Source organism: Homo sapiens, chromosome 8 (assembly GCF_000001405.40).
Source record: "Homo sapiens chromosome 8, GRCh38.p14 Primary Assembly".
Taxonomy (NCBI): domain Eukaryota; kingdom Metazoa; phylum Chordata; class Mammalia; order Primates; family Hominidae; genus Homo; species Homo sapiens.
In genome coordinates, this window is record NC_000008.11 from 97,621,890 (window position 1) to 97,644,012 (window position 22,123).

The window sequence follows — 22,123 nt, forward strand, 5'->3', positions numbered from 1 at the left end:
GCCTTACACAAATTTTTAAACTTTTTTTCCATAACAAAAATGTTATATACAAGGAGTCCAACTGTCCTGGATAATATGTGGTGAGTTTAGAAAGGTTATCCTAGGAGAACACTCATTGTAAGCACTACAAAGACAGAATAAAATCACCTTACTGAGGAAATTCTCTGACTGTAATGATATTACCTGTGAAAGCAAGAAGCAAGCCAATGAGAACACCTTGGTGTGAGCCCCTTGGCTTACCCATAGTTAATAATATTACTGGGGCCAGGTGCAGTGGCTCACACCTGTAATCCCAGCACTTTGTGAGGCTGAGGTGGGTGGATTGCTTGAGGTCAGGAGTTGGAGACCAGCCTGATCAACATGGTGAAATCCTGTCTCTACTAAAAATACAAAATTAGCCAGGCGTGGTGGTGCATGCCTGTAATCCCAGCTACTTGGGAGGCTGAGGCAGGAGAATCACTTGAACCCAGGAGATGGAGGTTGCAGTGAGCCAAGATCGCGCCATTGCACTCCAGCCTGGGCAACAAGAGCCAAACTCTGTCTCAAAAATAATAATAATAATAATATTACCTGCCATTCAGGTAATCAAGCTTGAATCCTTCTCTGTTCTCATATCCAATCAACAACCAAACTTTGGTTCTTTCTTTCACAGAGCTCATCTCTACCCTTCCTATCCCATTCTCACAGCCACCATCACACAATCCAGCCTTTATTCCTTCCCACGAAATGCCTTCTAATTATGGAAACATTTAAAAATTCAAAATCTAAGTGTGACAGGCATCTCTCTCTTGATTATTACAAAATTTAATTTAAATAAAAGGTTTGTTTTGCTTTTTTAAGGCGGTATCTATTTTGTCTTCAGCAGCTCCCTAAAGAACTAATACAGTACCTTTATGTGGAAATACTATCTTAAGAGAGTTCTGCAGTTCTCTTTGCAATGCCCAATCTTTGGTCTCCTGCTGGAATACCAGTCCTTCCAATGTCCATCCGCTGTCCCTTCTAAAGCGTCAGAGCAGACTCAGGCTGCCCTCGCAGTTGCTCTCAGAATGACCAGCTCAGCCTCTCCAGCCAGGGTCAGAACACCCGAACAAGACCTGCACAGCCAATCAGCTGTTTCTTCTGGCTCCCTTTCAGTCCCAATCCTTAGTCTGTTTAAAGGACTGAAAGTTAAATTTGAGCCAAAGAAATAGCTAGAAGGTGACAACAGCTAAGTCCCCAAGGCTTTAAATAGAGTAAGACGTGTAAGGAGAAGCCTCCCCGGAGGCACCTACCCAATGAAAGGGATCTCTCAGGAAAATCACTCTCTGTGCATCACTCATGCGTGCACTGGAGTCAAAGGCCAGGGCACAGCCAATTTAAGAAAAGGATGGAGGCAGCAGTGTCTGGCTTTGCTAGGAGACAGATTACTGTCATTATAATGCACGAGAAACATTCCATTTGTTAAGCCAGAGAAAAAGATATTTCACACAAAAAATAAGAGGAATGTATCTATTGGTCAATTATTTCATCTTACTCCAAGAATTACTGAATTTCAGATAAATGATTCTTCATCATAGAAGATATTAGTTGCCAAAGAGTCCTCTAAAGACAAGGCCGGGCAGGCCCTTCAATGTGTGAAATACAAATGTATAAAATGAAGTTAACAGGCAAGTGCACTCCCACCTAAAGACATTCAGATTTTAAGATATTTGAAAACATTGATCTGGTCATACAAAACCAAAACACAGCTGTATGCAAATCTGGCACACAGATGCTGGCTCTCCTCTCTGGCTCTCAGGTTAAGCAAAGAGATTATTAAAATAATCAAAGATCCGGAAATGTTTTTATTTTTTTCTTAACTACATGGTTTAATTTTAGACAGCATGGGTTGACTCCCTGCTATGAAAGATGAAGTGATTACACTCTTAACAATTTCTCCTACCTACATTTTCCTCCATTTCTCTTCTCATTAATTATAATATATTTTACTTTGCCAGGTTATAAGCCATCACATCATGTTCTGTAATTATGATACCCCTAGTTACTTAGTTTTTGTTCTATTTTTAAAAGCGTCTAATGCTCATTTCCAGTTCTTTTACCACTCCTACATTCTTGATTTTGATTCATTTCTTTGGCTGGATTTCAATGTCCAATGGTTTTGTTCATGAAAGGCTTACTTCTATATCTTTTACACACTAGATTCTAAGTACTACTTTCCCTCTGTCTTTTCATATTTGAGAAAGCTTGCTTGTTGACTTTATAACTGAACAGTTTTGTTGGACTACACTTTTTTTAAACAGGCTTAATTCGCTTTATTTTACTTGTATAAAAACCTTATGTTGTAGCCACAGCTGGAGCCTGGGTCCTCTGCACGTAGACTCTGGCGTGGGTCTTGACAAGGTGGTCAGTGAATTCCTGATAGGGAGACTTGGTGAATACAGTCTCCTTCCAGAGGTCGGGGGTCAGGTAGCTGTAGGTCTTGGAGATGGCATCAAAGGTGGCCTTGGCGAAGTTGCCCAGGGTGGCATTGCAGCTCCCAGCTGAGGTGTGGCAGTCATGGATACCGGCCATCATCAGCAGCTTCTTAGCTACTGGGGTCGAGGCGATGCCAGCGCCCCGGGTGCAGGGATGAGGTGCACCAGCACAGAGCCGCAGCGGCCTGTCACCTTGCAAGGGACCGTGTGGGGCTTGCCGAACTTGTTTCCCCAGTAGCCTCTGCGCACGGGGACAGTGGAGACGTTGGCCAGGATCATGGCCCCTCGGATGGCAGTGGCTACCTCCTCGGAGCACTTAACACCCAGACCGACGTGGCCACTGTAGTCCCCTGTGGCCACCAACGCCTTGAACCTGGTGCACTGGCCAGCACGGGTCTGCTTCTGCACCAGCATAATCTTCAAAACCTCATGCTTGAGAGAGGCCCCCAGGAAAAAGTCAATCATCTCAGACTCCTCCATGGGCAGGGAGAAGAGATAGATCTCCTCCAGGGACTTGATCTTCATGTCTTTGACCAGGCTGGCACGGCTTGGTGATGGGCATCCATTCTTTGTCCTTGGCCTTGCCTCCACTAGCTCTGCGGCCTCAGACACTTCCGCCCCCGCTCATGGCAGCAACCCCGGCCGGGGATGCCACTGCCGCAGCCTCCGCAGAAGACTCCGCGGTTCCCCATCCCAGGGCCCCTTCCTCTCTCGGCTGTCCCAGCGCCATCTACCATTCGGTGTTTTCTCGGAGAAGAAGTGGGCTACACATTTTTGTCCTCAGAAGTTAGTGGATATTGCTCCATTCCCTTCTGTACCACAAGATTTTTCATTAGATTTTTTCATTCGGTTTAGAGGCAGAAGATTTAATCTGACTTTATTTTGCCACTTGCATTCAGAGATTTCTTTGCTTTTTATATTGTCAAACTTTATATACTTATATAAAGTAAGGATGTAAAATACCTAGAGAACTATTACCAATACGTAACTTTTTTAAAAGCAAAAAATCTCCATCCCGCTTATTGCTCTGAAATAAACGTTCCTCAGAACTGCTACTGTATGTTAGTTAAAGAGCCAGCATAGACCTCAGCCCCCAAACTCCAGACCCTGACAGACCTGTATTGGAGATCCCAACTCTGCCACTCACTAGTTGTGGGATACCTGAGCAAGTTACCTAATGCTTAGTTACTTTTAATGGCAAAACACAATTACTTTTGCACCAACCTAATATTAAAAAGGGGATGATAATAATACCTACCTCATCAGTTGTGAGGATTAAATGAAATAATGCACACTAAATGCTTGCCACAGTGCCTGGCATGGAACCCACCTATTTTCTAGGTTTTGCATGCTGCTTCCCCTCTCCGTGACGCAGGCCATGGAAAAGAAATTTTTTGAATTAAAGGAAATTTAAAGGTTATCTTATCCAAGCCTCTCACATCACAAAAGAAGAATTAAGATCATGAGAAATTGCATCAGATATATTATACCTACTCCTCAATACCCTGACACTGGAATTAGATTCTTGATCAATGGGCATGAACATTCTGATCCTTGTGAAGGGGCATTTCTCACTGTAAATTATTAACTAGGTATCCAATTTATTAAAAACACAACAAAATCATTTCAACAGGACCTGTGACAACAACCTGAGACCTCTGAATCTAGGTCCGGTGTACTTTCCACTAATTGACAGCTTCACTTACATTATTAAAGGAACTATCTTCAATCCCATGAAGGATTACAAAAATATTTATATAAAGAAGTGTAAAATTTTAAAAATAAAGAAATAGGCCGGGCACAGTGGCTCACGCCTGTAATCTCAGCACTTTGGGAGGCCAAGGCAGGCGGATCACTTGAGGTCAGGAGTTTGAGACCAGCCTGGCCAACATGGTGAAACTCCATCTCTACTAAAAATACAAAAAGTAGCCAGGCATGGTAGCGTGTGCCTGTAGTCCCAGCTACTCAGGAGGCTGAGGCAAGAGAATCGTTTAAACCTGGGAGACAGAGGTTGCAGTGAGACGAGATCGTGCCACTGCACTCTAGCCTGGACAACAGAGCGAGACTCAGTCTCAAATAAATAAATAAATAGCCAGGTGCAGTGGCTCATTGCCTGTAATCCCAGCAGTTTGGGAGGCTGAGGTGGGAGGACTGCTTGAGTCCGGGAGGACTGCTTGTGCCCGGGAGTTCAAGACCAGCCTGGATAATATAGCGAGACCTTGTCTCTATTAAAAAAAAAAAAAAAAACCTTAAAAACAAAACTTAGCCAAGCGTGGTGGCACCCCGGCAGAAACATGCCTAAGCCCAGGAGGCAGAGGTTGCAGTGAGCAGAGATCATGCCAATGCCCTCCCAGCCTGGGCAACAGAGCAAGCACCCTGCCTCAAAAATAAATAAATAAATAAATAAATAAATAAATAAATAAATAAATAAATAATTTTTTATAAAAAGAAATAAAGAAATGTTATTGGGGTTTTTTAAAACATGTTAAAGTAGATAAGGAGACATATCATTAAATATCCAAACTGTTCAAAAGATACAGGACTCTCACAGAGTTACACTAAGCTTGTGAAGGCTTAGCTACTAAAAAGAAGAAAAAGAAATATATATATATAAAAAGATACACTAAGTAGCCGGGCGCAGTGGCTCACGCCTGTAATGCCAGCACTTTGGGAGGTGGAGATGGGCGGATCACAAGGTCAGCAGATCGAGACCATCCTGGGTAACACAGTGAAATGCCGTCTCTACTAAAAATACAAAAAAATTAGCTGGGCGTGGTGGTGGGCGCCTGTACTCCCAGCTACTCCGGAGGCTGAGGCAGGAGAATGGCATGAACCCAGGAGGTGGAGCTTGCAGTGAGTGAGCCGAGATTGCGCCACTGCACTACAGCCTGGGGGACAGAGTAAGACTCTGTCTAAAAAAAATAAATAAATAAAAAACAAGAAGATACACTAAGGTAATGAAAGTCTTACCTTTGTCCATACCCACTGGTATAAAAGTTTTAATGCAAATTTATAATTCATCATAAGATATGCATTTAAAGGTCACAGTACTAAAAATGTAATGTTGTGATTAGCTCAAAAAAAGTAATGAATCCTTAGAGGAAAAAAATATTTAATATCTTAGACCACAGTGACTTGCACCATCCTAATAATGTACATTGCTTCCAACCCAAACGTTCTTAGCCTAAAAGGCGTTAGAGAAGGAGCAGCCTTGGGGAATACATTTCACTACATAAAGCTCCTGTGCCACTCCAGCTTCTTTGGTGCACCGCCACCAGGCACTCTCCTTCTTGCAACTCAACACCCAAACCCTGCCCTCCTCAGCTCACACCCTAAAAATGGCCCCTGGTCGTTCAGATTGTATTGTTGTTGATATTCTTGTCTCACTATTCCAGCCTGAAATATAGATGCCATTAATTCAAATTTTTCTTACTCCTAATGTGACAACCAGTTAATCAGATAAACAGGTCAGCTTTAAATGGTTAAGAGATAAAGGAAACTAAGGCCAGGCGCGGTGGCTTACCCCTGTAATCCCAACACTTTGGGACCTCAGGTGGATCACCTGAGGTCAGGAGTTCAAGGCCAGCCTGGCCAACATGGAGAAACCTGTCTCTACTAAAAATATAAAAATTAGCTGTAATCCCAGCTACTCAGGAGGCTGGGGCAGGAGAATCACTTGAACCCAGGAGGCGGAGGTTGCAGTGAGCTGAGATTGCACCATTTGCACTCTAGCCTGGGCGACAAGAGCGAAACTTCATCTAAAAAATAAAAAGAGAGAGAGATAAAGGAGACTAGAGATACAACATCCCACTCCCTTCCCCTCTCTGGAAATATATATGAGTAAGACTGAAACTTTCAGAGATGGTGACTTCATCTTTATTGCTTAACCTAAAGAAATGCCTTCAGTGGTTAAAAAAAAAATTATTGCTACAGGAGCCAGAAGAAAGCCATGGCATCCCTTACTTGTTAGAGGTAACTGAGGGCTATAGTAGACTACTACAATAAACACGAGCAGAGCATGGTGGCTCACATCTGCAACCCCAGCACTTTGAGAAGCCATGGTGGGAGGATCCCTTGAGACCATTCTGGGCAACATGGTGAGACCTTGTCTCTACAAAATTAAAAAATTAGCCAGGTATGGTGGCATGCATCTGTGGTCCCAGCTATCAGGAGGCTGAGGTGGGAGGATTGCTTAAGCCTAGGAGGTTGAGGCTGCAGTGATCTGTGACAGCGCCACTGCACTCGAGCCTGGGTGACAAAGTGAGACCCTGTCTCAAAAAAAAAAAAAAAACAAATATAAAGAAATAGAATATGTCTGGGTGAAATTTGGAGTACTCCTCAAAGAAGCCCCAAACATATGGCTACTTAGTCCTGGTCTGTCATCAAACATCCGAAGCCACAGTGGCTCTAGTATTGCAGGAGATGGCCACCCGCAGGCACTCCCTTACCACCTGCTGAGGTTCTGCTGCTCCCAAATGGACCAGAGCAGAGAAGTATCATGTGACATCATTTCCTTGCTGTGCTAGGACCCCTGACATTTCTGATCATCCTTTTCTCTGGGCCACTTGGACCCAGGCTGGGACTCCACGCTTCTTAGCCCTTCACTTGCTCACAGTCTGCACTCTTCTTCCCCTTCCCAGTCAGGGGTGACAATGCTACAACTGAGCATTGGCCAGGAGATTGGAGAATGCTGCTTCCCTCCAGAGCAGCTCTGACTAAGGTGAGCATTGGCATTGCCTGACAGCAATGACTTGCCTGTGCTCAAAGTACTTTCTAAGGCTCAACAGAGATACCCTATTTAGAAAGTATTGAAATCCACTACATTCTACACTTAACTTAAAAGCTGGCCACTCAAAGCCTCTAGCTTTCTCAGAAATGCTGATTCAACCATAAAATTTCAGAACAACAAATAAGCCAGAAATTTCCATACAGATAGGTTGTTCATTACTTTCATATAAAGTTATGTGAATCTTAAGTGAATTCAAAGGCCAAATCTTCGAAAGTCAAGATCCATAAAATAAATAAAACAGTTATTATACTTCATTTACACTTAGTTTTTGACAATATATTTTCAGCATTTGCTGATGATGCATAAGGTTGCTTTTGTTTTCTTCTTCACAATTGAACATGCAGTCAAGCAGCTTAGTCCAACAAGCAGTAATTTGAGACTAAAGAGTCATAACTTTTGGCATGCCAAATTCATACTTCACATATTCCCTTAAGAAATAGAGTTCATAGCCAGGCATGGTGGTGTGCACCTGTAGTCCCAGCTACTCAAGAGGCTGAGGTGGGAAGATGCCTTGAGCCCACGAGGTTGAGGCTGCAGTGAGCCATGATCATGCCACTGCACTCCAGCCTGGGTGACAGAGTAAGACCCTGTCTCAAAAATAAAAATAAATAAAATAAAATAAATAAACAGAACCTGGCTGGGTGTGGTGGCTCACACCTGTAATCCCAACACTTTGGGAGGTCGAGGCAGGAGGACTGCTTGAGGCCAGGGGTTCAAGAACCAGCCTGGGCAACAAAGCAAGACCTCGTCTCAACAAAAAAAAAAAAAAAAAAAATTAATTAGCTGGGCCCACTGGCGAGTACCTGTAGTCCCAGCTACCTGGGAGGCTGAGGCAAAAGGATCCTTTGAGCCCAGGAATTCGAGGTTGCGGTGAGTTATGATTGTACCATTGCACTCCAGTCTATGTGACAGAGTGAGACCCTGTCTCAAAAAGAAGAAAGAAGAAGAAGAAGAGAAAGAAGAAGGAGGAGGAGGAGGAGAAGGAGGAGGAGGAGGAGGAGGGGGAAGAGGAGAGCAGAACTGACATGCAACTTCTGGGTTATGCCCCTTAAATGGATAACATGTCTTTTTATTCTACTTTGCCTTCTCCCATCTTGCTGCCTGGAACTTGGACATGGCAACAAACCATCTAGGACCAAACAGATGAGGCTAATATTTTAGGGACACTTGAACGGCAGCATGGAAGAGCCAACATATCAGCATTATTTGAGAAAGGAATCAGACTATTAAATGAGAAATAAAATTCTTTTTTATTATTTTTAAAACTCTACCCCTGAGTGACATATTAGAGAAATAACATTCTATCCTGTTTAAATTTTTGTTGTCTTTGTTAAAACAGCTAAAACTTTATCATCCTAATTGAAATGTCTTGCAATTTCAATGTCACATTTAGAATTCATGTTTTTGTTACTAATTGCTATTTCATTTTCACTAATTGTTACAGAGTATTTAAGGCAAGGAGCAATAAAACATTCAAAGAATTATACACATTTTTATACAAAGATAGTAACTTTACTAAAATTGATGGGCATTAACATGATGCAGTAGTTCAAAATGGTCATTATATCAGCTAATTATAAAAGTTCTAACCCAGTGAGCAAATCCTTTTCTCAAGGATTTGTGAGTAGGCAGCATTTAAATGCTGCCTACTCATAAAGAACATTAACACAGTCTGGAAGGGGAGTGTGTCTAAACACTGAATTTGGTTTTTGCCCTTTTGGAGCAGCTAGGGCAAAGGCTAGAAGAAAGCATTCCAATCATTCATAATAAGTAATTTCTTGGGGCTAACTCCTATTAGCAGATGTTATCCAGCTACTCTAAATCTATATTTAACAATCTTTTGAGTTTCAGGCTTTGTTTTTTGTTTGTTTTTTGTTTTTGTTTTTGTTTTTTTGAGACAGAGTCTCACTCTGTCACCCAGGCTGGAGTGCAGTGGCTGCGACCTCAGCTCACTGCAACCACCACCTCCCAGGTTCAAGCAATTCTCCTGCCTCAGCTTCCTTAGTAGCTAGGGCTACAGGTGCATGCCACCATTCCTGGTTATTTTTTGTATTTTTAGTATAGAGGAGGTTTCACCATGTTGCCCAGGCTGGTCTTGAACCCCTGACCTCAAGTGATCTACCCGCCTCGGCCTCCCAAAGTGCTGGGATTACAGGCGTGAGACACCACACCTGGCCTTCAGTTTCAGTTTTAAAGTTAGCTAAGAATAGTCTGTTCATAGAGATATGTTCAAAAGAAATGTTCATAAGAGTTATATTCAAAAAGTTCAAGAAAACTGAAATTATTGTAATTATGAGCTCTTTCAGAAAGTAGACTGCCATTAGATGCAAATTTCCATTCATAAATAACTCAGCTAGAGAACTGAGAAAGTTAGTTTTGAGTCATTCTCTCAGGATTATAAATACAAGGAAGAAGTGAAGACAAGAGAAATAATCTTGAAATAAAGAGCACTAGTACCTACAAGTTTCATGTCATTGTGATGCCCAACATGAGCATAATTTCTTTTTCTTTTTCTTTTTTTTTCTTTTTTTTTTTAGACAGAGTCTTGCTCTGTAGCCCAGGTTGGAGTGCAATGGTGCAGTCTTGGCTCACTGCAACTTCACCTTCTGTGTTCAAACAATTCTCCTGCCTCAGCCTCCCGAGTAGCTGGGACAACAGGTGCCCACTACCACGTCCAGCTAAACTTTTGTATTTTTAGTAGAGACAGGGTTTCGCTATGTTGGTCAGGCAGGTCTCAAACTCCTGACCTCAAGTGATCTGACCGCCTTGGCCTCCCAAGTGCTGGGATTACAGGCGTGAGCCACCACGCCCAGCCAATGACCATATTTCTATTTCTACTATAGCTACCACAAATAAAAGAAGTAGTATTACTAGGAGAGGTGGGCGCAGTGTAATCTCACCACTTTGTAATACCTGTAATCTCAACACTTTGGGAGGCTGAGGTGGGAGGACTGGTTGAGCCAAGGAGTTCGAGACCAGCCTGGGAAACATAGGGAGACCTGGTCTCTACAAAAATAAAAAAAATTAGTCAGGCGTCGTGCCATGCACCTGTGGTCCCAGCTACTTGGGCGGCTGAGATAGGAGGATCACTTGGGCCTGGGAGGTCGAGGCTGCTGTGAGCCATGATTGCACCACTGCACTCCAGCCTGGGTGACAGAAGGAGGCCCTCTCTCAAAAAAAAAAAGAAGAAGAAGAAGAAAGAAAAATAAAAAAAGAAATGTGTATTTCTAGCCCTTATAATTTTCTTTGTTGTTGTTGCTTTGAGACAGGATTTTACTCGATTGCTCTATCAGGCTGGAGTGCAGTGGCGCCATCACAGCTCACTGCAGCCTCGATCTCCATGGGCTCAAGTGATCCTCCCATATCAGCCTCCCAAGTAGCAGGGACTACAGGCATGCACCACCTTATCCAGCTAATTTTTTTTTTATTTTGTAGAGACAGGGTTTCACCCTGTTGTCCAGGCTGATCTTGAACTCCTGAGCTCAAGTCATCTGCCCACCTCAGCCTCCCAAAGTGCTGGGATTACAAGTGTGAATCACCTTGCCCAGCCTAGTGCTTATAATTCTCTTTGGGCTACCAAAGTAGGGTAAGAGTGGTGAGAATACAGGGTCCCTGAATGTTGCTGGAGGGGAGAGAAATCACATCTTAGAGAACATTCAGGGAACATCTGGGAGAAGCTATGAGAACATTCAGTTTTACAAATCATGAGTAAGTCCTAAATTAATGACAGTAATCTCATTTCAAAGTGAGGATTAGTAGTAATGAACTAACTTTTCTCAGTTTCTCTATTTTCACTAATAGGACAGTGATCACCAGGTCACTTAGTCACAGAGCATTACACACCCATAGATTCTTCCCTCCACTTTATCCCACTTCTGTCACTACTTATTGCCATTCATTGTCAGCCTTTCTCTTCATTCCCACCACCATTGAATGAATTTAGGTACTTGGGGTACTTCACATCTCAGATCACTGAGATAGCCTTCTTTGCACCCACTTTCCAATACCACATTCACTAATTCATTCATTCAATACATATTTACATGAATAGGCACTGCAGTAAGTGCTGTGAGTACCATATTATACAAGTCAGACACCCTTCCTGCCCCAGTGGAGCATATGTTCTAGCAAGAGATGCTGGCAATCTAGTTTTATTACATACTTGTCCTCAGAGACTATAGAATAGTCCTGGATCTTATCCTATGTTATTAACTGCAGTGTATCCTCCCACTCACAAATTCATATTTTGAAGTCCTAACCCCTCAATGTGACTATATTTAGAGATAGTCTTTAAGCTTAAATGAGTTCATAAGGGTGGGTCCCTAATCTGACACCACTGATGTCCTCACAGGAAGAGGAAGAGACCCCAGGGACCTCTCTGTCTCTCTTTCTCTCCAAGGACACACAAAGGAAAGACCATGTGAGGACATGGTAAGAAGGCCGCCATCTGCAAGCCAAGGAGAGAGGCCAGGAGAAACTAATCCTGGAGGCATCTTGATCTTGGACTTCCAGCTTCCAGAACTGTGAGAAAATCAATGTCTGCTGTTTAAACCACCCAGTCTGTGGTATTCTGTTATGGCAGCCTGAATTAATACATCCTGTTACTCTTGTTCACACCAGACTTAAGCACTATTCTCTATTACCATCCCTCAGCTCCTGTTAAGTAAAATTCTCCAAAGGCAGGCTTTTTCTTCTTCTTCTTCCCCTTCTTCTCCTTCTCCTTCTTCCTCTTCTTTTTTCCTTTTTTTTTTTTTTTTTTTTTTTTGAGACAGCGTCTGGCTCTGTCACCCAGCTGGAGTGCAGTGGCACAATCTTGGCTCACTGCTGCCTTGACCTCCCAGACTAAAGCAATTCTACCACCTCAGCTTCCCAAGTAAGCTGGGACCACAGGTGCACAACACTACCACACCCAACTTAACTTTTTTATTTTTTGTAGAGGCGGGGTTTCGCCCATGTTGCCTAGGCTGGTCCCAGACTCCTGGGCTTAAATGATCCTCCCGCCTCAGCCTCCCAAATATGCTAGGATTCCAGGCATGAGCCACTGTATCAGCCTTTTTTTTTTTTTTTTTTTTTTTTTTTGAGGCAGGGCCTCACTCCATAGCCCAAGCTGGAGTGCAGTGGTGCGATCTCAGCTCACTGCATCCTTGATTTCCCAGGGGCTCAGGTGATCCTCCCACCTCTGCCTCCCCAGTAGCTAGGACTACAGGTGCACACCACCACACCTGGCTAATTTTTTGTATTTTTTGTAAAGACAGAGTCTCCCTATGTTGCCCAGGCTAGTCTCGAGCTCCCGGGTTCAAGTGATCTGCCCTCCTTGGCCTCCCAAAGTGTTGGGATTACAGGTGTAAACCACCATATCCGGTCAATAGGGAGTGTTCTTATTTTAGTTGTAGACAAAGTACACACTACCTGCACTTTGGGAAGCCAAGGAAGGAGAACTGCTCGAGGCCAGGAGTTTGAGACCAGCCTGGGAAACATAGCAAGACTTCGTCTCTACAAAAAATTTAAAAAACTAGCCAGTCCTGGTGGTGCACACCTATAGTCCCAGCTACTCAGGAGGCTACAGCAGAAGGATCACTGGAGCTCAGGAGGTCAAGTCTGCAGTGAGCTGTGATGGCACCATTGCACTCCAGCCTAGGTAAGACCCAGAGTGAGACCCTGTCTCTAAAAAAATAGAAAAAGGAAGGAAATGTGAAGTATAAAGGCCATGGTCCATAGCAATTCTGAAATGCAACTCAGCAAATATTGGAAGTTCTTTGATTAGGTTTCAATGTATGGAAATAATTTTCTGTGGATCTTGGCTCCACCCTCTATGCTCCTGGTTCTGCCTTCTGAGTCTCCCTTCCTTTTTCATGAAAGGTGTAAAGTTTGATGCTCAGTGGTTTTCTTATGCTGCTTCCTGCTAATAGAATTTTGGAAGTTCAATGACTTCTTTTCATTTGCTACTCTTTCTGTCCCTTTCAGTCCAAACTGGCAGTGTTTTTGGTGATGCAATTTTCTTAAAAACTTTGTAGGCCTTCTGTGAATTTCATTGGCATTCACTCCATTGGATAAAAGCCACATCCAAAAATCTCATCTAGGTAAGATCTTTTTCTATCTTGGGCTCCTGTTGATTTTGCTGAGAACAATGTCCTTAAACTTCCTAGAAGACCTGTGGTTTCACTGAAAAGGTCCTTGAGGCACACTCTTAGTCTCTTTCAAGGGCCTTTTATGTAACTGAATACTGATTCGTTCATCTTTCTGAGATTTTAACAAAAGGCTACATAGTCACACCTCCAACATTTCCTCTGCCATTCATTTTTCTTTTTTTCTTTTTTTTTTTTTTTCAGGGTCTCACTCTGTTGCCCAGGCTGGAGGGCAGTGGTGAAATCATAGCTCATCATAGTAATCTCAAACTCCTGGGCTCAAGAGATCCTCCTGCCTTAGCCTCCCAAGTAACTGGGATTACAGATGCTCACTACCATACCCAGCTAATTTTTATTTTTTGTAGAGATGGAGTCTTGCTACGTTGCCCAGGCTAGTCTCAAACTTCTGGGCTCAAGCAATCCTCCCACCTCAGCCTCCCAAAATGCTGGGATTACAGGCATGAGTCACCATGCCCAGCCTCTCTGCCATTTTTCTTGACAGTGCTTGGAAGCCATTTCTTGTTCTAGCATATTCTCCGCTCTGAAGAGACTGAGTATTTTCAAAATCATCAAGTCCTAACTCCTTTTGTTTCATAGTTCTCTCCATTTATTTCTCTCCTCTCATATTTTGCTATAAATATTAAGAAGAAATCTAGTGGGGCCTTCAACACTTTGCTTTGAAATATCCATTCCTACAAAAGCAAACCCAGGACTCACATGTTCTGCTTTCCACATAATTGCAGGAGACATTTGACTACATTTTCTGCCATTACATAACAAAGATATATACCTTCCTCCAGTTTCTAAAAACATGCTCCTCATTTCCTTTTGAACTTGGGAGTGTTTCTAAAGTCCATAAAGTCCTTTAAAGTCTTTAAAGTTTCCATTAACAGTATGTTCAAGCAATTTGGACTTTATCATTCTCCTCAAAATTATTCCACCTTCTTACTATTCCCTGGTTTCAAAGCTACTTCCACATATTTTGGTATTTTTTATAGCAGCATTGCACTCCCAGGTACCATAATACTAAAACCAGTTCTCTCTCACTATGTAACAATGTTACCACAAATTTAGCAGCTTAAAACAAACGCACATTTACTATTTCATAGTTTTTGTGAGTCAGGAATATGGGAACAGCTGTGCCTGCTCCTTTCTTTTCGGGTCTCTCAGAAAGTGTTAGCCAGGACTGGGGAGTCATCTGATGACCAACCAGGTAGTGATCTGTTTCCAAATGCATGAGGTTGCCAGCGGGATTCAGTTCTTTCTGGGTCACTAGGCTGAGGGTCTTTCTTCCTTGCTGGCTGCTGGTAGGAGGTCACCCTCAGTTCTTGCTACATGGGCCTCTTCTGATGGATATTTACTTTGCCAAAGCCAGCAAGGGAAAGAGAAAAATAGTCTACTAGCAAGATAGGAGCACCAATTTTATGTAACATCATGATGGAAGTGACATCCCATCTCCTTTTGCCATATTTTATTGGTTACAGCAAGCCACAGGTTCCTCACCTATGCATGGGGACAGGATTACACAAGGATATAAATACTAGAAGGTAGGGGTAACTGGCAGAAATCCGAGAGTCTTTCTGCCACAAGATACTAACTGATGGCCGGGTACGGTGGCTCAGGCCTGTAATCCCAGCATTTTGGGAGGTTGAGGCTGGAGGATCACCTGAGGTCGGCAGTTCACGACCAGCCTGACCAACATGGTGAAACCCCGTCTCTACTAAAAATACAAAATTAGCTGTGCGTGGTGGCACATGCCTGTAATCCCAGCTACTCGGGAGGCTGAGGCAGGAGAATAGCTTGAACCCGGGAGATGGAGGTTGCAGTGAGCCAAGATCACGCCATTGCACTCCAGCCTGGGCAACAAGAGCTAAACTCCATCTCAAAAAAAAAAAAAAAAAAACTAATTGATGCATTAAATTAGAGAAACAGCTTTACGCCATGTGTAAATAGCTATTAGTCTTTTTTATTCACATTAACATTAATATAAACTATTCTTTCAAATATATTCTGAGCACCTACCAGGTGCTAGGCATTATGCTAAGTATAGGATATGGTACAAAGGTGAGCAAAAACAGACACAGTTCCTGTCCTCATGAAAATTCTAGTCAGAAGGAGAGAGAAAATAGTTACGTGAATAAATGTGAAATTATGATTTTGACAAATACTATGAAAGTTTATGATACTATGAAAATCCATAGGATGAGGAAATGACCTGATCTAGTGGTTGGGCACAGCTTCTGGGAGAAAATGACATTTCATTTGAGATATAAAAAATGAGCAAGAACAAACTAGAAAAAGCAAGGAAATAAATTCCATGCATTCAGAAGATCATGTAGGTACTGCAAGAGGCAGTACCCCCAACTCTGATCACCACTTTGGGGTCTACACACATACATCCATCTGCTTATTTGTACTTCTCAAAATCAATGTGTAGAAAACCAATCTTGGCTTGTAAAACTTAGTTCTTTCCCAACATTCCCTACTTCAGTGAAAGACACCACCATCTGTAAAACTGGAAGTGAGAAACCTAGGAGTTATTCTTGACAGTTCCCTCTTCTTCACTCCCTCACCAAATACTATGCACTTTATTACTAGTTACACAATAGGTCTCTCATAATCCAGACATACCACGTTCTCTCCTGTTCCCCAAGCCTTTGCTTTTGCTGGTCCTATGCTTGGAAATTCCTCTCCATCCTCACCTCCTTCTCTTCTTAGCAATATCCTAATTCATCCTTCAAGACGTAACCCAAACATATTGCACTTGGCATTCTACTACATCCATGCGTAAATAATAACCTCTCTCCTCAGTGATATAATACACTTTTCAAATACCTCATCACCCCTGTTACAGGTTGGTTGTCTGGGAAGCAGACTTTCAGGCAGATCGGCAAGCAGGACAACATTAGGAAGTGCTCCTGGAACCAATGCCAGTGGAAGGAGAAGGAACTAGGATTGGGCAGAGGGAGAGCTGGGTTGAGATGTACCAAAAGTCCTAAGCCAAGCAGTGCTCTGGGCTGGGATGGTCCTTGGGATCTTTCCAAATTGAGTTAAGAAGGCCAGGACTTTAAATCCTCCTCCCCAGGATGATCAGTCCATTGGATGCGAGTTATCCCTGGAAGGAGGCATGACTTTGGCTGAAGAAGTTTTCCTCAGTAATCTCCCCCAAAGTATGACAGCTTAGGGATGTCTTCTGGATGTTTCCCAGAGTTAGAGAATAAGTCTTTCATTCCTGAAGAGGGATCCAGGAGATGCACTGCAGCATCCACTATGATCCCTAGGCTCAAATCAGTTTACTAGAACCACATTCCCTTGTGTTAAGGAAGGCTCCATTGCCCTCACTAGGTATTTTTTTGGTGTGTGTGTGTTTTTGTTTTGTACGTGTGTGTGTGTGTGTGGTTTGTGGTTTGGTTTTCTTTTCCTTTTTCTTTTTTTTTTTTGAGACTAGATCTCACTGTGTTGCCTGGGCTATTCACAGTGGCTATTCATAAGTGCGATCATAGCATACTACGACCTTGAACTCCTGGACTCAAGCATTCCTCCTGCCTCAACTTCCCAAAGAAGCCTAACTAGTTTTTGAGACATTTGCTTCCTTAAAGAGTTGGGATTTAATAGAAATCTGGTAAAGGAATTACTGAATAAATGACCCAAGGCGACTGATTAACCAAAAACACAGGACCTTACTTGAAAAAAACAGAGTAAACCCGGCAGGGGGCTCACACCTGTAATCCCAGCACTTTGGGAGGCCGAGGCAGGTGGATCTCTTGAGGCCAGGAGTTCGAGACCAGCCTGGTCAACATGGTGAAACCCCGTTTCCACTGAAAATACAAAAATTAGCCAGGGGTGGTAGCTCATGCCTGTAATCCCAGCTACTCAGGAGGCTGAAGCAGGAGAATTGCTTGAACCCGGAGGCGGAGGTTGCAGTGAGCTGAGATTGTGCCATTGCACTCCAGCCTGGGCAACAGAGGGAGACTCCATCTCAAAAAAAAAAAAAAAAAAAAAGAAAAGAAAAAGAGAAAACAATGCAAAACAGAGTGCAAATATCCTTTTTTTTTTTCTCCCAGACAAGGTCTCACTCTGTCGCCCAGGCTGGAGTGCAGTGGCAAGATCTTGGCTCACTGTACCCTCGACTTCTCTGGGCTCAGGTGATCCTCCCACCTCAGCCTCCCAAGTAGCTGGGACAACAGGAGTGTACCACCATGCCCAGCTAATTTTTCTACTTCTTATAGAGACGGGGTTTTGCCATGTTGCCCAGGCTGGTCTTGAACTCCTCTGCTCAAGCAATCTGCCTGCCTCAGCCTCCCAAAGTGCTGGGATTACAGGCTTGAGCCACCACACTCAGCTGTCATTTAATTTTTGTCACTTAAATTTAATTACAAAGTATTTTAGGCATACAAAAAGTAGAGATAAGGAGTACCCGTGTATTCATAACTCTTAACCTAGTTTAAGAGATAAAACATTATATATTTGTAGCTCCCTTGTATAGTTTTCACTTATCCCATTTCTCTCCCACTCTTCCTAGAAATAATCACTATCTCAAATTTGGTGTTCATTATTCCCATGCACGGTTTTATATTCTTACCACATATGCATTCTACTGAATGAGTATACCATAACTTTCACTTTTGTTATCACTTTCACAGCCTCCATGCTTCCCCCAGCCCCCACCCTGATGTTCCCTTGAGGTACAATTGATAAAATCTAATTTTTAGTTCCATACAGATTCTTAGCTTATCTTCTGATCTCCTAAAGGAAACATCTTGGCCCTTGCAGCAACACATTTACAAACTAGCTTAGGATTCTGAGCATACTTCTGCAGGCAGCTTAGTTATTTACTAATTCTTCCTTTATTCTGAGAATAACCCTTTCCGGACTGTGTCTTAAAATTCTTGGCACACTCATCTATAGTTCCCTGCTTTACCATAAAATCATTCTCCTAGGTGTGTAACTCTGTGACCTGGTCGTTTACAATGGCAAGAATCTACATTGTGAAGAGACCCAAGCCATCATGTTTCTTTCACCAGCCATCACATAAGCTGTTTCTGCAACCAGGAAGAGGGCTCTCACCAGAACCCAACCAGGCTGCCACGTAGCTTGGACTACCAGCTCCAGAACTGTGAGGAAAAAAACCTTCTGTTGTTTAAATCACCCAGTATGTGGTATTTTGTGATGGCAGCCCCAGCAAACTAATATGCACACTAATCCCAATAACTGACTGCACAGTATACTGAAAAAGAGGAGTGATCAAGTGTCAAGTGCAGTGGGAGGTCTGAGTTCCTGTTTGGGCTCTGTCACTCAGACTCTAGGGCATAACACTTGACCCTTTGAAGCTCACTTTTCCTCATCTATAAAATGAAGGGCATTAAGTAGCACTTCATGTCCCCGAACATTTTCAAACTGAAAGTATTTAATTCACAAATTGTGAGCTATGGCTCAGGCAATTATAGCACAGCACCACTACTCCATCTCAGGAGGTAATCATGGATATTCACAAAGATTTAGTTACAAACATATTCATGACAGAACTGCATTTAATGGCAAAAAAAAATCCTGTCAATAATCTAACTATACAATAAAGTATGTTAAATCAGAGACAGACAATATCTCGCCATTATAAGTGATACTTTAAGTGAATATTGTGCAAACTCATTAAAAAATGTTTTTGTGGCCAGGCGCTGTGGCTCACGCCTGTAATCCCAGCACTCTGGGAGGCCCAGGCAGGCGGATCACCTGAGGTCAGAAGTTCAAGACCAGCCTGGCCATGGTGAAATCCCGTCTCTACTAAAAATACAAAAAATTAGCCGGGCGTGGTGGTGGGCACCTGTAATCCCAGTTACTCGGGAGGCTGAGGCAGGAGAATCGCTCAAACCTGGGAGGCAGAGGTTGCAGTGAGCCAAGATCATGCCATTGCGCTCCAGCCTAGGCAAAAACAGTGAAACTCCATTTCAAAAAAAAAAAAAAGTTTTTGTTAATGAACATCAAGGATATAGTGTTGAGAAACCTTGTTCTTTAAAATCATAGTTTGGCAAAAACTTTGAAATCTCATCATTGAAAATGGAACATCTCACTCTTGTAGGATCTGAGTCCTATGAGTCATTTTATTTTTAAATTTTTTGGGGTACATAGTAGAAGTATATATTATAGGGTACATGAGACATTTTGATACAGGCATACAATTCATAATAGACACATAAAGGTAAATGGAGTATCCATCGCTTCAGCATTTATCCTTTGTGTTACAACCCAATTATATTTTTATTTTTAAATGTACAATAAATTGTTGACTATAGACACTGTTGTGCTATCAGATGCTAGATCTTCACTCTAACTATACATGACTTTTTAAAATCTTTTTTTGAACTGCTTTATTCAAGTATGACAGACACGAATTAAACAATACTTTATATAATTTGATAAATTTTGAAATATATGCCCATAAAACCATTACCACAATCAAAATAATGCACATATCCATCACACCCATGGGTTTCCTGGTACCCTTTAGTAATCCCTCCCTCTCTCCCATTTCTCCTTCCTCCCACCACCCTCCACCCCCATCCCCAAGGAATCACTGATTTGCTTTGTCACTATAGATTAGTTTGCATTTTCAAGTTTTATGTAAATGGAATCATACACCATGTACTCTTTTTTATCTGGCTTCTTTCACTCAGCATAATCCATGTTGTTACATGTATTCATAGTTCATTCCTTTTTATTTCTGGGTCGTATTCCACTGTATGGGTCACTCCCAGAAAAAGCAGTCCTTATTTCCAACCCGGTGCAGAGCTGCAGGTAAACGGTTTCATACACAACAGCTTAACTTTGTCATTTACAAGAAATTAGAATTCCCACTTTAGGCCAGACTTGATTTTAACTTCTTTACATATGGCACCACTTCAATTTAAAGGTTTTTTTGTTTTGTTTTGAGACAGAATCTCCTTCTGTCACCCAGGCTGGAGTGCAGTAGCACGATCTCAGCTCACTGCAGCCTCCACCTTCTGGGTTCAAGTTATTTTCATGCCTCAGCCACCTGAGTAGCTGGGATTACAGGCGTGAGCCACAGCACCAGCCATTATTGTAATAGTTTAATTTGAAAATTCACAGGTGGGCCGGGAGCGGTGGCTCACGCCTGTAATCCCAGCACTTTGGGAGGCCCATGCGCGCGGATCACGAAGTCAGGGCGACTGCAGCCTCGGCAACACAGCGAGACTCCATCTCAAAAAATAAAAAATAAAAAATTCACAGATGTTTATCTAGAATGGTCAGAATAGTCAGTGGAACTTCTTAGGAAAATCATGACCCTTCACATCTCTAGAACCAAAACACGTGCAGAAATCTTATTTCACAAATATAAATGGAATTTGGAAACTTTGAGTTAAAGCAGATCCCAATAACATTTGCTAAGTTTTTGGCCTCCTAATTTAATTTAGTCTTTAATCATAAGTCTTGGCAAGTGTAGTATGCTTTTATTATTTATTATTTACAAAACTCCCTTCCACACATGAATCACAATATGCATTACGACACTGTTGCAAAATAGGTCAAAATACATTTTTGGTATTTGGTGGTTATTAATATTACCCCTGCTGTATTCCTTGAGAAAGCCTGTATTTAGTTCACTTAAGACAGTTGCTTACACGCTAATGATCATTTACCGATAAAATACAGAGTTTCCTTATAGCAAAATATAATCTTAAAACCCTAAGGCAGCCTTCAAGCATTTCCCTTATAATTAAAACCTGAAGGCCTGGCGTGGTGGCTCACGCCTGTAATCCCAGCACTTTGGGAGGCTGAGGTGGGCGGATCACGAGGTCAGGAGATCAAGACCATCCTGGCTAACACGGTGAAACCCCGTCTCTACTAAAAATACAAAAAATTAGCCGGGCGTGGTGGTGGGTGCCTATAGTCCCAGCTGCTCGGGAGGCTGAGGCAGGAGAATGGCTTGAACCCAGGAGGCGGACCTTGCAGTGAGCGGAGATAGTGCCACTGCACTCCAGCCCGGGCGACAGAGCGAGACTCTTGTCTCAAAAAAAAAAAATTTGAAAAGGCAGTTCGTTTCCTTCTATAGCTGCATCCCAGAGATGGTCAACATAGCATATAAAAATGGAATTTTTGCAAACCCCTTTTGCAGTGTTGTAGAAAAGCTTAAAATAAAACGTAACGAGAAAGCTCCCTCCATAAGTAAATACAATCTAATGTGCTTCCCCTTATGTGTTATTAAAGCTACAAATTAGTAGGAAAAGAATAGTGCCGCCCACGGGCTTTCCAACTTTTGAATTCTGGGGACTAACAACAGAGAGCAAGAGTGAATGAGCCAAACGACGCAAACGTGCCCTCGCCAGGCTGGCAACTGGTAGGCACGCAGTGTATTAGTTGCCCTGGAGAGAAACACCCTGGAGAGAAATACCCAATTTGTGAACTAAACCTAGGTCCCGGAAGAACAGTGTTCGGCGTCAGACTCCGTTGAGCTCATTCTGGAAGGATCCAACTGGCGCCACCAGGGAGAAAAAGCGATTCCACCTCAATAACACTCCAGAAAAAGGCATGAAGAGCCCTATACCTGCCAGGGCGACTTTGACCTAGACCCGGTGACCCGGTTCCTAGCGCTGCAGCCCTACCCGCCCCCCGCCCGCCCCCGCCTTGCACGGAGCCCCTCCTCTGTACTCATTCGTTGCGCCACGTCTCCTAACTCTGCGCCACCAGCCACCCCGCGAAGGCGTCCACCAATTAACCCCTCCCAGCTTCTGGTCTACAGT

At 42.8% G+C, this 22,123-nt stretch overlaps 1 pseudogene, besides 5 other annotated features; it reads right to left on the reverse strand.

The window, feature by feature from the left end:
- On the reverse strand, window positions 2,275–3,213 carry RPS2P33 (ribosomal protein S2 pseudogene 33; annotated as a pseudogene).
- Window positions 6,258–6,467: an enhancer, noted in NCBI's record as "active region_27666". NCBI's record gives its function as "activates an Ori minimal core promoter by ATAC-STARR-seq in GM12878 lymphoblastoid cells {active_cell/tissue: GM12878}" and the evidence as "EXISTENCE:reporter gene assay evidence [ECO:0000049][PMID:35858748]".
- Window positions 9,103–9,412: an enhancer, noted in NCBI's record as "active region_27667". NCBI's record gives its function as "activates an Ori minimal core promoter by ATAC-STARR-seq in GM12878 lymphoblastoid cells {active_cell/tissue: GM12878}" and the evidence as "EXISTENCE:reporter gene assay evidence [ECO:0000049][PMID:35858748]".
- Window positions 9,463–9,522: an enhancer, noted in NCBI's record as "active region_27668". NCBI's record gives its function as "activates an Ori minimal core promoter by ATAC-STARR-seq in GM12878 lymphoblastoid cells {active_cell/tissue: GM12878}" and the evidence as "EXISTENCE:reporter gene assay evidence [ECO:0000049][PMID:35858748]".
- Window positions 17,975–18,274: an enhancer, noted in NCBI's record as "active region_27669". NCBI's record gives its function as "activates an Ori minimal core promoter by ATAC-STARR-seq in GM12878 lymphoblastoid cells {active_cell/tissue: GM12878}" and the evidence as "EXISTENCE:reporter gene assay evidence [ECO:0000049][PMID:35858748]".
- Window positions 21,883–21,992: a silencer, noted in NCBI's record as "silent region_19390". NCBI's record gives its function as "represses an Ori minimal core promoter by ATAC-STARR-seq in GM12878 lymphoblastoid cells {active_cell/tissue: GM12878}" and the evidence as "EXISTENCE:reporter gene assay evidence [ECO:0000049][PMID:35858748]".